Source organism: Homo sapiens, chromosome 10 (assembly GCF_000001405.40).
Source record: "Homo sapiens chromosome 10, GRCh38.p14 Primary Assembly".
NCBI classification, from domain to species: Eukaryota; Metazoa; Chordata; class Mammalia; order Primates; family Hominidae; genus Homo; species Homo sapiens.
In genome coordinates this window covers 68,146,521-68,164,029 of record NC_000010.11, presented here as the reverse complement: position 1 = coordinate 68,164,029, position 17,509 = coordinate 68,146,521, and the positions used below count along the sequence as shown (strand labels likewise).

The 17,509-nt window shown below is 41.1% G+C and overlaps 1 protein-coding gene, 1 long non-coding RNA gene and 1 pseudogene across 14 annotated transcripts in view; 1 reads left to right on the top strand and 2 right to left on the bottom strand.

Annotated features, from left to right (window-relative positions):
- MYPN (myopalladin) overlaps nt 1-17,509 on the bottom strand; it is a 124,121-nt gene that overhangs the window by 47,988 nt on the left and 58,624 nt on the right. For 10 of the 12 annotated variants that reach the window (NR_045662.4, XM_047425879.1, XM_017016834.3 and 7 more), the window contains 4 exons: nt 15,563-15,677; nt 13,919-13,990; nt 5,403-5,544; nt 2,278-2,301 (listed from right to left, as the gene is read on the bottom strand). Coding sequence is in view for 10 of the 12 variants with exons in the window: in XM_047425879.1 (XP_047281835.1) it covers nt 2,278-2,301; nt 5,403-5,544; nt 13,919-13,990; nt 15,563-15,677 (353 nt within the window). In the remaining 2 variants the exon portion in view is untranslated. The remainder of the gene's footprint in view (nt 1-2,277; nt 2,302-5,402; nt 5,545-13,918; nt 13,991-15,562; nt 15,678-17,509) is intronic. The other 2 variants (NR_045663.4, XM_047425880.1) reach the window with 2 other exon arrangements.
- Nucleotides 5,622-5,951, bottom strand: RN7SKP202 (RN7SK pseudogene 202; annotated as a pseudogene).
- Nucleotides 5,801-17,391, top strand: LOC107984240 (uncharacterized). Of its 2 annotated transcripts, none has more exons than XR_001747479.2 (3): nt 5,801-5,956; nt 7,631-7,679; nt 17,312-17,391. It is a non-coding gene; the product is annotated as an uncharacterized LOC107984240 (long non-coding RNA). The 2 variants fall into 2 exon arrangements; XR_001747480.2 differs by lacking the exon at nt 17,312-17,391 and adding an exon at nt 15,364-15,586.

Genomic DNA, 17,509 nt, shown 5'->3' with positions numbered 1-17,509 from the left:
TTGGATTGGTCATATGTTCTGAAGAAAGCTGGTTCCTCTCAGCCTCAGATGGTAAATCATGACTGGTCTAAGCCAGTCAAGCTAACTCTATTCTTGTTAAGTGGTAGTTGAGACACACAATTCCAGTCAGTGTGATATTGAAACCATAACCACAGGGTTGACAAGAATTGCATACTAGGTTCTGGACAGAAATATAGTTAAGCATTAATCAGGCTGCACTTTGACCCACTTCCTTTGTCACTAAAAGTCACGTAGCACTAGATCCTGACCATTTGCATCCCCTTGTTCCTATAGATAGGATTTCTGACATTAGGATCATAAGACTGTTTAAGAATTGATTTGCATCCCCATTGTTGCTATAGACAGGATTTCTTTTATTTTTTATTTATTTATTTATTTTTGAGATGGAGTCTTGCTCTGTCACCCGGGCTGGAGTGCAGTGGCGTGATCTTGGCTCACTGCAAGCTCTGCCTCCCGGGTTCACACCATTCTCTCGCCTCAGCCTCCCGAGTAGCTGGGATTACAGGCATCCGCCACCACGCCGGGCTAATTTTTTGTATTTTTTTTAGTAGAGACGGGGTTTCACCGTGTTAGCCAGGATGGTCTCGATCTCCTGACCTCATGATCCACCCGCCTCGGCCTCCCAAAGTGCTGGGATTACAGGCGTGAGCCACCGCACCCAGCTGCTATAGACAGGATTTCTAACATTAGAATCATAAGGCTTCTATTTTTTTTGAGACAAGGTCTTGCTCTGTTGCCCAGGCTGGAGTGTAGAGGCATAATCTTGGCTCACTGCAACCTCCACCTCCAAGGCTTGAGTGATCCTCCCACCTGAGCCTCCCGAGTAGCTGGGACCACAGACATGCACCACTATGCCTGGCTAATTTTTGAGTTTTTGTAGAGGTGGGAGGCTCACTATATTGCCTAGGCTGGTCTTTAACTCATGTGCTCAAGCAATCCTCCCACCAAAGTGTTGGGATCACAGGTGTGAGCCACTGTGCCCAGCCTCATAAGGCTTTTGTTTAAGGATCTCTTAAGACATTTTTTTCAGGCCATGAATTCCAGCAACTAGTTTGAAGACCCCCACAGAGGATCGAGATCAGCATGAGAACCCGGCTTCTTCATCTCCCTGTCCCATGACTTCACCCCACACTTTTTAACCAACCAGTGATCTCCGCTCTTCAACCCACTCCAAAACCCTTAAAAACCCTATCCTGGCTAATTTTTGTAAATTTAGTAGAGATGGGGTTGTATGTATGTTGGCCAGGCTGGTCTTGAACTCCCAACCTCAGGTGATCCACCCGCCCCAGCCTCCCAAAGTGCTGGGATTACAGGCGTGAACCACCATGCCCGGCCTGAAGAGAGAATTATAATAATGAGATCACAAACCAGCTTTCTGTCACAGGGTTGCAAATACAATCTGATTTTTCCAGGTGGTCACAGAGAGGGCATTCAGATGTTTATGCCCTGTTTTGTGAGTGACTTGTATTTTCTAACTTCGCCTACTGTCACTTGTATCTCGTCGTAGTATCCTCCCAACCAAATCTAATAACATCACAGATATTTTATTGAATCTCTGCAAGCTTCAAAATCTGATGATGCATAAGTTTTGAGATACCTAGGCTATGGAAATGAAATTGACCTAGCATTATAAAAATTGCTTTGCCTAGTTTTGAGAGGGCTCAAATGGCGGCCATTTATGGAGGAAAAATATTCCTAAGAAACACTTCTCAATAACCAAGAACCAGCTGCATTCATGTGAGGTATTAAATATATATTCCAGATTTGCACATGCACCCCTCCTTTCCTCCTACAATAATAGCTATAGTTCATTTGGATGTTTTTTTTTTTTTTTTTTTTTTTGAGACAGATTCTTGTTCTGTCGCGCAGCTGGACTGTAGTGTCACGATCTCGGCTCACTGCAACCTCCACCTCCCAGGCTCAAGTGATTCTCCTGCCTCAGCCTCCCAGGTAGCTGGGATTACAGACGTGCGCCACTATGCCTGGCTAATTTTTATATTTTTAGTAGAGATGGGGTTTCATTTTGTCATGTAGGCCAGGCTGGTCTTGAACTTCTGATCTCAAGTAATCCGCCCGCCTCGGCCTCGCAAAGTGCTGGAATTACAGACATGAGCCACTGCACCCGGCCCATTTGGATCTTTTTTTCCTAAAACTTTATTTTTCACTTTTTATTCATCTCAGTGTAACTTCATTATGTATTCTTGTATATATAAAATCACTCATATACTAATAAATTAAAGTTGAAATCATCTTTACCTGGCTCTGCCATGGATCGAGGTTCTAAAAGAAAAGAAAGTAAAAGATTCTGAGCATTTATTTTACTGAGAAACTACATGTTCATCAGAAGCTTCCTATAGAATTTCACAGTCTCTTGCACACTCAGGAGTGATACAATAAGATTATGTGACAATATTAAGTAAGATGATCTCAACAGGGACAGGATGGATATTACAGAAAGGCAGCAAAAGAGCAAAAACTTTTTTTTTTTTTTTTGAGACTGAGTTTCACTCTTGTTGCCCAGGCTGGAGTGCAATGGCACGATCTCAGCTCACTGCAACCTCTGCCTCCTGGGTTCAAGCAATTCTCCTGGGTTCAAGCAATTCTCCTGCTTCAGCCTCCCAGGTAGCTGGAATTATAGGCATGTGCCACCATGCCTGGCTAATTTTTGTATTTTTGATAGAGATGGGGTTTCATCATGTTGGCCAGGCTGGTCTTGAACTCCTGACCTCAGGTAATCTGCCCGCCTTAGCCTCCCAAAGTGCTGGGATTACAGGCAGGAGCCACTGTGCCTTGCCCAAGAGCAACAATTAAATGATACTGCTTCCTCTTGAAATAAATCTGGGTTTCACTTGGGATACATAAACCTTAGCCAAGGAGGTTTGTGAGTTAGTTATATTTCAGAAATGACTCTTGCTTTTACTGGCACTCATTCAGCCTTACCTGAAAAAGGTTTGTGAAGATTGAGAGATTGTTCTTGGCTTTGGGCTCTGATATCCTAATAAAATATACACTATACCTCCTGCTCTGAGGTTTCTAAGATTAAGAGCCTCAAGATAGATCATAGTTTTTTCAAGAGTAGGTTTTTTCTTTTTGAGACGAAGTCTCACTCTGTTGCCCAGGCTGGAGTACAGTGGCAAGATCTTGGCTCACTGCAACCTCTGCCTCCTGGGTTCAAGTGATTCTCCTACCTCAGGCTCCTGCGTAGCTGGGACTACAGGCACCTGTCACCACACTCAGCTAAGTTTTGTATTTTTAGTAGAGACGGGGTTTCACCATGTTGGCCAGGCTGGTCTCAAACTTCTGGCCTCACGTGATCCGCCCGCCTCAGCCTCCCAAAGTGCTGGGATTAAAAGGCATGAGCCACCATGCCCAGCCAAGAGTAGGTTCTTATCTTATCTTAAAATTCTTTGGGCTTCATGAAAGTGCCCACGGTGGTACTGAATACAGGTGTTTGATTGATATTGAATTGCCAACACTCAAAAAGTAGTTGTTGAACTTAGTTTTAATCTTCTACACTGGTAGACCCATTGAAGTTTTTTTTTCTCTCTCTCTGTTTTTTTTTTTTTTTTTTTTTTTTTTGAGATAAGGTCTCACTCTGTTGCTCAGGCTGGAATGCAGTGGCGTGATCTCAGCTCACTGCAACTCAGCCTCCTGGGTTCAAGTGATTCTCCTGCCTCAACCTTCAGAGTAGCTGGGACTACAGATGCGTGCCACCACACCCGGCTGAGTTTTTGGTTTTTTTTGTTTTTGTTGTTTTTGGTGGAAACAGGGTTTCACCATGTTGGCCAGGCTGGTCTCAAACTACCGACCTCAAGTGATCCGTCTGCCTTGGCCTGGCCTCCCAAAGTCCTGGGATTACAGGTGTGAGCCACTGTGCCCGGCATCTCTCAGTTTAAATGGCATTCAGAATATATTATTGTTGCTGCTACTACCAATAAAACCTGAGAGTAGCTCTGATTCATATGTCACACTGATCTACAGACTGCTATTTTGTGATAGGCAGAAAAAGATTAAGAAAAAAGCAAATAACTCACCACAAAAAATGATGTGTGTGAGGTAATACGTATGTTCATTAGCTCAATTTAGCCATTCCACAATGTATATATATTTCAAAACATCATGTTGTACATGGTAACTTGTAAAATTTTTATCAATCAATGTAAAAAATAAAAAATAAAAGTTATATATGTTCATTATGGAAAAACTAAAAAAATACAGAAATGCAAAAGGAAGTAAAACAATTGACCCTAGACTCACTGCCCAGAGAAAGACTGCCAACATTTTAGCAAATTTCTTTCCCAAGTTTTTCTATCATATGATTGCTCTACATAGTTAATAAAACATATTTTTAAAAAGCAAGTATGTTGCAATGTAGTTTATGGCTGAAATGGGTCAAGGAGAAAGCACTGCATGACAAGGTGAAAGCATTGTGCGATAAGAAAAGAAGAATTAACCATGTAAATTTCTAAATAATTCTTACAATAAAAAAGAGCAAGAACCCAATGTGAAATAAAGAAATACAAAGACTTAAGTAAATATGAAAAAGAAAAGTTTCATCCCAGATTTAATTAGTGAAGCGCAGATTAAAACAAGTGTTCCCATTTTTTGGCCTATAAAATTAGTGAAGATTTTTAATAAAATGGTTAACACTCATTGTTGGTGAAGGTGTGAGATGAAAGGCATTCCCACGTATTGTTGGTTGTAGTAGGATATAGCTAGGGCGACGTGTGTCCCAGTTCAACTGGGGCAGACCTAGTTTATGCCTGGGATCCCTGTATAATTATTAATAGCATCCTCTTTCACTCCCCTAAAGGATCTCATTTTGGCTGATTAATTGTGTGACCATCCTAAATTTAGTTCAACCCTTTGGGGTGGCATTTTGGCAACATATTTTAAAAGCCTTAAAAAAGGTAAATTTATAGCAGCAATTCTCATACTAGAAATTTATTCCAAGGCAATAACTGTAGATATTCACAGCTACTGGGGAGGCTGAGGCAAGAGAATCGCTTGAACCGAGGAGGTGGAGGTTGCAGTGAGCCAAGATCGTGCCACTGCACTCCAGCCTGGGTGACAGAGTGAGATTCCATCTAAAAAAAAAAAAAAGTAAGGAGGCTCTGTGTTTATGGACATGGAAAGGTGTTCATTAAATGTTGAGTAAATAATTAATTTACAAAAAAGAATATGATGCTTTTCTTTAAAAACTATGCATGGAAAAATTCTTGGAGAACATATACTGAAATATTAACAGGAGTATGATTACAGGTGTTTTTTATTCTTTTTGACTATATTTTTAATTAGTTGTTAAAAAGTTATAAAAATAAGTGTGTACAATAAGTTCATAAAAACAAAATATCAGAAAATAATTTAAAGTATTAACTTACTTTTCTGTAAAATCCTAAAATCTGGAGAATCTTCTATTAAAGTCCCTTCTCTATACCACTCAACCTTAGGAGATGGAGCTCCTTTTACTCTGCATTCAAAGACAACCAGCTGACCCTCAGAAGCTGACAAATTTTGTAGCATCTATAATGATAAGAAGAATGTAGTTAGAACAAAAAAGTACACATTTTTGTAATCTAGTTTCGGTGTTGAATTTTAGAAAAAGATGCCGTCTCCATATTTGGATTTTTCTCCAAAGCATCTACATCTCTAGCAGCTTCAGTTCTGTGGATGTGCATTCAAAAGTAGTTTTGAGAGCTTGTTTGGAGGCTCTAGCAGGCGAGCGTGGCTACTCCTATGCCCTTGACCTAAGATTGGTCCTCCTCTATCAGGGATGGTCATCTTCTTCCACTGAGCGCACAGCTTCAGGAGGGACGCACATGGAAACAATGAGGGAGAAAAAGGGCACCCGCATAGCCAGCCTGATCAGCTGAATTAATTCTGGCCATCAATGGGGTGACAGATGTCACAGCCAGATCACCCTCACATCCTAAAAGTAGGTTTGAAGACAGAATCATCTGAGCCTATATAAAGCTTTTCCCTCGCTATTGTTTTCCTTTCTCTCTCTACCAATGCTAAGTAAATTTATTAAATATTAGGCAAGACATTTTGAGTAATATAGCTACTTTTAATATAGTGTCTTTGGGGTGGTTTTTTTGTTGTTGTTTTGGTTTGGGTTTTTTTTTTATTGGTCGGGGGTGTTTTTTTTTGTTTGTTTGTTTTTTTCTGAGACAGGTTCTCACTCTCTTTCCCAGGCTGGTGTGCAGTGTTGTGATCATGGCTCACTGCAGCTTCAACCTCCCAGGCTCAAGCGATCCTCTCACCTCAGCTTCCTGAATAGCTGGGACTAAAGGCACAGGTCACCACGCCCGGCTAATTTTTTTTTTTTTTTTTTTTTTGTAGAGACAGGGTTTTGCCATGTTGCCCAATCTGATGTCAAACTTCTGGGCTCAAGTGATCCACCCACCTCGGCCTCCCAAAGTGCTGGGATTACAGGCTTGAGCTACCGCACCCGGCCTCAGTACCTCTGTTCTTAAGTGCCCAAGTGGTGTTTGATTTCCAGAAATAATAATAATATTTAAATTTGCAGTGAGTATCTACTAGATGTGTTCAACATAGGAGTGATGTATTAGTCCACAAAAGAATGTGGCTGCTCATAATGTGGAAGGGTTCTATGGCCCAAGTAACTGGTTCTGTCTTCCTAGCTTTGCCTTGTTTACATTCTGCAGTCCTGGAAATTGATTTTCATTGTGCTGTTTTGTTTTTCTTATGTGGTCTTTACAGGATAGGCTCACTAATCTGTTGAGGAATAAAAGCAATCACAATCTTTATAAAATCTTAGTCACACATACAGTCAATGTCATTGTAAAATACGTTGTAAATTTGCGAAGGAATCATTAAATGCTTTTCCACACTCCCACAATGAAAGGTTTAGAAAGACCACTTTGAATTGTAAGATATCAGTGTATTCTGTATTAGACTCTAGAAGATAATAAAATGCACATTTTTTCACAGCTAGTTTCTTATTCATCATGGTTTGTGAGCTGAAAACAATACATTCTTTTCTGTAGTTGGCACTTCATGTGATTATGAAATGCTTTTTCGGCACATGTATTGGCATATTTTTGTTTTTCATTTGGCCCAAAGACTGTAAGCATAAAAAAGGTTACAATTAAACTTCCTCCACAAACTCTGTAAGCAACAAATGCTGCATGGATTTCTATTATTACAATTTTTGGACCTGCATTTAGGAAATACTGGCTCTTGCTTCAGAGAAGGGGAAAGCCAATCGTTTTTTCTCTTTTGTCATTCGCTGTTACGAATATTTCGTTATTTTTTACAGTTCTTGTCTGAACAACTTATGATATTCTGTACTTGGTCCTATCGTACTTAATAGCATTTACCTAAGGAGAATATGGGGCTGGGGAAAACCACATAGCATTAGCTGTGTAAGAGACTTTCACCTCAGGGATGTTATGCATTGATATTGTGACAGCCAGGAGGCGCTGTAGTTCAATGCTAGTGTTTTATTCTTTCTGAGGTCCCAAATTTGTTTGCTGAAGTAATTCAGGATGGGATTAGCACCGAGTGGTTTCTGAATTAATAAAGAACTATTTGACAGAAAAATCTTGTTATTATTTGTCTTCCCGAAACATCTACTAACGACAAGAATGGAAAACAGGAAGCATCAGTGAATTTTGGGTGCTCCCGGCAAACTGGTGAGTATGTCCTCCACCCTGACCTCTGAGCAAATTGTGTGCTCAAATGGCAGCTTTGGGGACCATTGAAAACTTTAATGGCACTTAGACACCCTCCTGGAGCTTATACATAATAAAGTTTTCATTCCTTCTTGAGGCAAACCAATTAGAAAGCCAAACCAAACATCAAAAAAGGTGGTGGTGGCAGAAGGGGTTGAGTAAATGAAACAGTACATTCACAGTAGAATGAGGTCAATCTAATATGCTCTGACATGGCCTAAAGTTGAGCTCAGATATATGAGCCAGTTCCCAATCTGCAGAGATTACACAAAAGCCCTGCTTGCAAAAGGATCTCCTTGAGAAAATATGTTGCTCACAATTTAAACCATCAGTTGGTTGTTATTCATTTAACATCAAAGGGCAAGACTTGTGTTCTATTCAAGAGCCCAGCCTAGTTATGTGAGATACTACAGTGTATGGAATGGGCCTCCTAATGTCTGTGATGGAAGCTCATTCCAGTGTGGCACATCATCAATACTCAGTAAAGGAGGTGCCAAGGGTCATCTCACAAGCCACTTAGAAAACTGTTAAGAGTCATAGTTATAAGGATGAGGATGGTTGTTATTGCTGAAAGCTGCTTTTCTACAAAGTTTCGTGAGAAAGAGCTGGCTCACATTGCCACAGATCAGGATCCAAACCAGTTACCCTATTAGAACATAGTGTAGCTGTCATCACGTTCATCACAACAGTAGGTCTTAGGCTGTTGGTTACTAATGGCATGGGGTGTACAGACTTGATCATTTCAGCTTCACTGACAACAAATGAGACAGACCAAACAGTCTCCAACTAGCAAAGATTAAGTTAGTCTTTTCTAGGAATTATGAGTCTGGGCTAAAGTCACTATAACCAAAGATCTACAACCTCCTCAGGTATGCAGTATTCAAAGTGCAAATCTATCTTGTGTGGCATCACTAAACTGGTCATCTGGGAGGACATTCTTTGTAGGGTGACTTGACAACATAGAGACTTGGGAAGCTTGTCTTCTTCCATGGCCATTTGACATTTTACTTTTTTTCTCTATTCCTCCTAAAGATACTCTGAAGTCACAAAGTAATGAAAATAATAATTTCTTCTTAGCTGAAATGGAAGGGTTTTTTTTGTTTTGTTTTGTTTTTTGTTGTTTTGTTTTCTGAGATGGAGTCTTGCTCTGTCACCCAGGCTGGAGTGCAATGGTATGATCTCGGGTCACTGCAACCTCCACTTCCTGGGTTCAAGTGATTCTCCTGCCTCAGCCTCCCAAGTAGCTGGGACCACAGGCGAGTGCCACCATGCCCGGCTAATTTTTGTGTTTTTAGTTAGAGACGGGGTTTTGCCATCTTGGTCAGGCTGGTCTCGAACTCTTGGCCTCAAGTGATCCTCCTGCCTCAACCTCCCGAAGTGCTGGAATTACAGTTGTGAGCCACCGTGCCTGGCCTGAAATGGAAGTTATTTGCCACAGAATAAATGTGTGCCTGCTTTGTGCCCAGCACCATGCCCACTGCTATAAACGTGAGTTGAAAGGATATAGTTCTTGCTTAGTAGATCTATAACCACAAACATAATGCTGGGACATCCTTGAGAAACAGCATCTGCCTTATTGGTTAAAAGATGTCAGCTACAAGGTTCGTTTTGCCATTTTATTTGTTTTTCAATCCAGTTGATAATTTTGCACCTTGGAAGATGCTGCAAGTGCACAGTGCTTTAGGATGGAGTTGGATCAAAGTGGTTTTTACTGATAAAGAACTGTCTGATTGAAAGCTCTTTTGCCCCTTGACTGTCACAAGTGCCCCATGCAATCATTGAGTAAGAAAAGTCTCCAGAATTGATTGAATGGGGAGAGGGGCCCATGAACTCCAGAAATCTGGATCCCACTACCGGCCCAGTTATTTCAGGGTTTCCTGCCTTTGCTGTTATATAATGAAGTGCTCTTTTTCAAATTCTCGCTTCCCCTGCCCCCTTGCACTCTTCAAATTACTGCTGAAGCAGCTGGGGCCAGGGCTGCTGCAGCCTTGAAAGCCTGCCAGAGCAGCTGCTGCTGGGGTGGGAGCAGTGATAGGAGTAAGATTCTAATTTGATCATCGACCTCCCTTCACATTCAAGAAGTGTGAGTGCTGTTTTCCCTGCATAAACAGAGCAAAAGTTTTTTTGATACTGCGTAGAGGATGGAGGATAGTCTATCTCTATCCACAGTTAAAGAGCATCTAAAAACATAGGTATCACCTATGAGTAGAGTAGTGAACTAGTTTTGGAATCCCACAGTCCTCTCTCAAATTCTACCACTGTTTTGCTGGGCTACTCTCCTTTTCATTTTAACTTTCTTTAAAAGAAGATAAGTACTTCGCTGTCACCAGCAGAGGAAGGAGTTAAATAAAACTCTGCTCGCTAAGCGTTGCTTTAAAAAAAAAAAAAACTGGCTTCTTGCCACGATTGGCAAAGAAATGCTTTGTTGGGCAGTATAGAAAGTGAGTCACAGGGAATGGAATGCCAGAAGTCCCTAAACAAGTAAATAGGGCAGGAAGAAGCCAAACAAACATATGCAAATAATCTGTTATCATGGCTCATAGCCACATGATACCATCCATCACTGGTGGCTCTGACTCAGAAATTTGCTAATGACACTGGCAGTGACTATGACCTCAATCCTGCCCTCACTGATGGAAACTAACGCAAGCACATCATTGCTGATAAGTCTTTCTGGAATCTGAGCCACTGCCTATCCTAGTGCCCAATGCCTGAACAATCCTTAACCCATTTATGGAGGCAAAAGCACATATCCTGACGAGGCTGAGAAAGCCTCGTCAGGGTTTGGGTCTGTGTACTAAGGACCATTTTCCCACCATGAAGCTATTTCTTTTAGATATTTTATCTAACAAACAAAGTATGTGAATGATTAATTCATTTTCCTATTTTTATTTATCAAAAGTATATGCATCTGCCAATCAGAGCATCTAATTATTAATAGAAGGAGCTAATCAGAATCACCACACAAAGGCAGCTCAATCTGTGGCTCTAATCAGCTCATGAAAATTAAATGTAAAGAATAAATGTGGCTGGGCACCGTGGCTCACGCCTGTAATCCCAACACTTTGGGAGGCTGAGGTGGGCGGATTACCTGAGATCGGAGTTCCAGACCAGCCAGGGCAACATGGTGAAACCCCGTCTCTACTAAAAACACAAAAATTAGCCAGGCATGGTGGTGCACACCTATAGTCCCAGCTATTTGGGAGGCTGAGACATGAGAATCGCTTGAACCCAGGAGGCAAAGGTTGCACTGAGCCAAGATCATGCCACTGCACTCCAGCTTGGGTGACAGAGGGAGACTCTGTCTAAATAAAATAAAATAAAATAAAATAAATAAAATAAAATAAAATAAAATAACATAAAATAAAATAAATGTTAGCCGGGTGTGGTGGTTCATGCTTGTAATCCCAGCACTTTGGGAAGCTGAGGTGAGCGGATCTGAGGTCAGGAGTTTTAGACCAGCCTGACCAACATGGTGAAACCTCACGTCTACTAAAAATACAAAAGATTAGCCAGGCATGGTGGTGGACGCCTGCTATTCCAGCTACTCTGGAGGCTGAGGCAGGAGAATCGCTTAAACCCGGGGGGGCCAAGGTTGCAGTGAGCTGAGATCATGCCATTGCACTCTAGCCTGGGCAACAAGACTGAAACTCCATCTCAAAAAACAAACAAGCAAACAAATAAATAAATGTTAAAGTCCTATTGGACTTTTCAAAATAATAACAACTTTTTACCTATTGTTGCCTCTATGGACTCCTATCTAGTTATTAGAGATAGTCTTCAAGGTGAACGGGAGAGATTGAAAGGTAAACAGCTTTACTGTCATGATAAACGTGCCAGAGGTATGCTCTGGGTGACATGTGTCAACCAAAAATGAAATTCTTAGCGCACACCCGCTCTGCACCCTCCCCTGCCTGCCCCCTACCATCTGAATGGACCCCTCCTCTCAGCAAGGGCATTCTGAAGCTAACCTGAAAACTAGTTCAGGTCATGATGGGAAGGGGACATGCCTCATTATACCCTCCTGGAATTACTGATAAAACAGACTCTTTAAGTCTGATAAGATCTGATAAAAAACATTTATAATCTATTCTCTGAAGCCTGCTCCTGGAGGCTTCATCTGCATGATAAAACCTTGGTCTCTACAACCCCTTATCCTAATCCAGACGTTCCTTTCTATTGTTAATAACTCTTTCAACCAATTGCCAATCAAAAAAATATTTGAATCTGCCTATGACTTGGAAGGCCCAACTTCCAGTTGTCCTGCCTTTCCAGACCAAATCAATGTACATCTTACATGTACGGATTGATGTCTCATGTCTCCCTAAAGGTATAAAACCAAGCTGTACCCAGACCACCTTTGGCATATGTTCTCAGAATCTCCTGAGGGCTCTGTCACAGGCCATGGTCACTCATATTTGGCTGAGAATAAATCTCTTCCAACTATTTTACAGAGTTGGACTCTTTTCCTAGACATAGATGCAGGGAAGACACAGTACCTAGGAAGATTTCAAATTGAGTGGAGATATTACCTGATATCCCTCTGATGTCACCTGTCTGTCTAGGCAGATGGAGTTGAGGAAGGGAAGAGAGGGGGAGACTTTAGCTGAGACTGAGTATAAACTATCTTGTGGTTTAGCTGCCTTTGAAGAGTCAGCACTGTCTCTAAGGTGTGACAAACTGGCATGATAAATTAAAGTGTCTGTGGCACTTAATCACTGTTTTAAGGTTAGATGACTTAGCAATGATGATAAGAGACAATAAGAAGTAGCTCTCTTAGCTGTGTTACAAACACACATACACCCCCCCGCATAAAGGTCCACCTATAACTCCTCATCAAAGTCTTGTATCCACCAAATCACAACATGTTGCTCTCCTACTTCAAGACTTTGAAAATAGTAAAGCTAAAATCTCAAATGTAGGTTATGAACTGAACTTGAAAAATTGAGAGGCATCTTGTTTCACATAAGAATGTTTGCCTAACTGATATGGATATTGGTAAACATGGTTGTTCGCTCTAGACTCCACTCTGGGTTTTGGAAAACCATCTTGAATGATCTGATACAGCAGAGCTCCCATGAAATGGATGCTTCTGTAGAAGCTGTGGATTTAGCTATTCCTTTAAGGATCAGTACTCACTAGAAAAATAGCCCATTTTTTCCATTTTGCTCAAACCAGGATTTCTCAGCTTCAACACTGTTGACATTTTGAGCTAGACAATTTTTGTTGTGGGGGGCTGTCATCCTATGTGTTGTGGGATGTTTAGCACCATTCCTGGATGCCAGGAACGCAACCCCCCAGCTGTGACAACAAAAGTGCCAATGACTCTGAAGGGCAAAATTAACCATGATTGAGAACCATTGCTCTAAACCAAAGCATACTTCAAAGAGGATAAAATCTATTTGGGCCTAAGTTTGGTGTTCATACAAACAATAAACAATAAATCCAGGCATAGATGTTGCCTATTTGGTCCTCATAATACCATAAAATCTAATGTGATTCCATTTTTTCATCTTCACACTCACTGGCTTGGGCAACATATAAACACAGTCTGATAGTCTGAGAATTGGGACAACTTGTTTGTAGTCCTGATTCTGCCACTAACTGGATCTGTGACATTGGCTACATGGCTTCATCTCTCTGGCCCTCCCTTGGTTTTTCATTTGTAAATGAATGTGCTTGACTAAATTTTCTAGTGCTAAGTACAAAGATTATGAGACTCAGAATTTGATGCCACCTCAACAGTTGATACTATGGAATAGAAAAAGAAAGCTCTTTGTCCTAGAGGGAGGGAGGCTTTATGTTAAACCTCCTAAGAGCATTTAACTCCATCTCCTTGAGCACCTAAGCCAGGTACCTGCAATTGAATTTTTCTAAAAATTCAGAGAAACCTTTGGAGTAATATGTGGCTAGAAATTTATCACTTGACCTCTAGGGGTGGCTCCTATGTTGAACAGTTGTATAATGGCCACAGAGATTAGTGTGGTAAGAGGGAAAGACATTTCTCTCATTACTAAAACTGTTATTGGAAATCTGGGACTTGAAGCGATACTGTAGTAACTAACAAAACAACCCAAACCCTATACCGTACATACAGAAGACCAAATCCTGAGATAAAAATGAATAAATCTTGTATCCTATAACTTTGGGTGCTGTGGTATCTTTAAAGCCATGACAGAAAGAAGTAATATTTTTATTACCTTTGTAAACACAGGAGCTGCAATGATAGGTTTTCCATCCAATCCCTGCAAGTAATTGGTGGGGCTCTGACACTGGTAGAAGGGAAGCAACAGTAAATTCATTGTTACTAATATTATTAGATGGATAGTGAGACATAACAAACCTATAGAATTTGGTATATGAAATGCATCCCAAACCAAAAAACTGATGTATTCTAAGTTTATGAATCACAGACTTCAAATTTTAGACTGAATTGACTCTATTTCTCTCTAGGTCATGGTGGCTATAAAATATGTGCTGCCTATCCCCACGCCACCCCTTCACATGTAGATCTGTGGATCTATGTCATTAACCCTAAACCTCCAAAGAGGCTCCGTAGAACCCCTGGGGCTACACAGATCACAGTTTGAAAACCAATGGATTAGAACTAAAACTTGACCCCTCTGCACTACTAAATGGGTTGGATAATTTTTAAAAAGAGGTTGTAGATAAATATATTTAAATACATTGATCATCAATAAAGAAATATATCAGGCTGGGTATGGTGGCTCACAGCTGTAATTCTAGCACTTTGGGAGGCTGAGGCGGGAGGATGGCTTGAGGCCAGGGTTCAAGACCAGCCTGAGCAACACAGTGAGATCTCGTCTCTACAAATAATTTTTTGAAAAACAGAAAAAAAATATGTATATAAAAGAAATACATCAATAACATGTTATATGTATATTTAGATAGTATGACTTCATATGTTTTAAAGTCTATGCATACATATATGTATTCTTCTATATGCATAGACAATGCCTGGAACTACCCACTAGAAACTACTAACATGAAGTACCTCTGAGGAGTGAAGGCACTGGAGTAGAATCTTGACTAAGCTTTTTACTTAATACATTTTTCGGGGGGGAGTGGGAGGACAGGGTCTTATTCTGTTGCCCAGGCTGTAGTGCAGCTATGCTATCACAGGTCACCTTGACCTCTCAGGCTCAAGTGATCATCCCATGTCAGCCTCCCGAGTAGCTGGGACCATAGGTGCATGGCACCATGCCTGGCTAATTTTTTTTTCTTTTTTGTAGAGATAGGGTCTCGCTATGTTGCCCAGACGGGTCTCAAACTCCTGGACTCAAGCAATCCTCCCACCTTGGCCTCCCAAAGTGCTGAGATCACAGGTGTGAGCCACCACACCTGGCATACTTCTGTACTTTTAAAGTGTTTTTACAATAAGCATGTATCATTATTATTAACTTGAAGGATGAGAGCCTTTGCTGTTTTCTAAAAAATAACTACATGCTTGCTTCGTCTTAGAAAGTGGAATTCTCTGCAGCTCCATGAAACTAATCAGGTTTTATGATATAGAGTGTTTGTTCTAGGCCAGTCTGAGAGCTGACAGCTCACTGCATATGTAATCAGCACCCTTTATAAAGCTGAAAAGCCAGGGACTAATTTGTAAAGCGTTTCTTCTCCTCAGAAATTTGCCTATTGAAGCCCGAGAATATGTTCCCAAAGCAACAGGAACCACTGCTCTCAAACATCAGAAATACAAGGTGATTATCCTGATGATGGAGTTGCACCTGAGAAAAACACGATCATGCCATGCAAGATGGTCATGGTCACCATGACTGTCTGTCACAGTGGATGGCACTTGTGTTTCGCTTGGATTCTTGTACCTGCTGGATGGTTGCCACACGAGGTTGGGCCACCAAATGCTGGGCTTGGGGTACTGCTGGAGGAATGACTGCAGAGGTAGTGGGAGGAGATGACACCTCATTTGGCTTCTGGATTCTGAGAAATTATTAAAATATAGATTATAAAATAGACCTATCACTCTTTGTGAAAATTATTTTAGGAAAACTAGTAATGGCATCACTGCTTACAGGTGAGTGTAATAAAAATCTTGGTTTGATGATATTTTACAAACGTTGACCAAGGGCATTTTTGCTACACATTTTGTTAGGCAATGCAAACACGAAAATGCATAAGACACCATTCCTGTCCTTGGGCCGTTGTTCTCAGTGTAGCCAGGGAGTCAAACATATTAACAGTTAACTGAGATCCAAGACAAATGCAGTGATGGAAGCATGTGCAGAAGGTAATTTTTTGAGATTTGTTTTGTTGTTACCCTCGGTATTTTCCCTCCCCCTCCCATTTCAAGTAAGAGGCCAGGCTTTTTAAATCTATACCTCTGATCCAAGACAGGGTCTCTCATATATAAAACTTAACCTCTGAGAATTTGGCATGGCAGAAAGTAGAAATGGCATGAAGTCAACAAGCTTTTCAAGTTTACACAAATTAAATTAAAGAGAGTATTTGAAGGGCAAGAGAGCCAGCAAGTATTCTTGAGAAGGCTGCAGAGGGGAGATTATTTTAGTTTTGTTGTGGAAGAGACAGAGGTCTGTGGATCTTGCCAGAGAACCTGACCCCAGGGAGAACCTACGTCCAGAGGGGAAGGCCATCTCTCTCGGTAAACGGCTCCCAGTCTTGTTAAAGATATCAGTAATTACACACGTCAGAAAGCAACAAGCTCTGGACTTGAAGAGAACTTGGGATTTGGGACATGGGCCTCTCACCTGTAACCCATGGATAGATGACTGGATGAGAGAGGGCTTTCCTTTGGTCTAGGTGTTATATCTCTTTGCCTCAGCTTCCTCATCTCTAAAATGGGGAAATAATAATTCCCGGAGGGGGCACGGTGGCTCACACCTATAATCCCAGCACTCTGGGAGGTTGAAGTGGGTGGATCACTTAAGACCAAGAGTTCAAGACCAGCCTGGCCAATATGGCGAAACCCCATCTCTACTAAAAATACAAAAAAATTAGCCAGGCATGGTGGCGTGTGCCTGTAATTCCAGCTTCTTGGGAGGCTGAGGTGGGAGAATCGTTTGAACCTGGGTGGCAGAGGTTGCAGTGAGCTGAGATCGCACTACAGCACTCTAGCCTGGGCAACAGAGCAACACTCTGTCTCAAAATAAACAAATAAATAATAAAAAAATTCTTATCTCATAGGGTTTTGTGAGGATTAAATAAGATAATTCATGTAATGTGTTTAGAATGGTGCTTACTCCAAAACTGCTCTCTCTCTCTATGGCTCATTGTAAAACTGTGAGGGGGAAAGTGACACTCAATACCAGACTGGATGTTTTCCCTAACCAGGCAGCATTTGGTCTCAAGCAGAATGATGTGCTAATGCAAAGCCAATCCGTGTATCCAAAGCATCTGTTTTCTTCTTCTACAATAATAGAATACCTGATTTCTTTACATGATTGCTCCAAATAAAGACTACATATCCCAAAATTCACTGCAGCTAGGTGTGGCCACATGGGTACTTTCTGGTTATGGGATATGAGGGATAGTGGTATATGCATTTTAAGAGAGATGACCTTAAAAGGCTGACAAGCCTTTATTTCTTTCTATTTTAGCCTAAGAAGACGAGGGCAACATCTTAGTGTGAGATAAAGCAGAAAGCAGGAAGCACAGAGGAACCTAGTGGAATGTGGGGTCATTTTACCCACCAAATCCAGATTTGTATGTAAATAAGAAATAAATATCTGTTTCATTTAAGTCACAGTTAATTTGAGTCTCTATGATACACAACGGAGGCTAAATCCCAACAACTA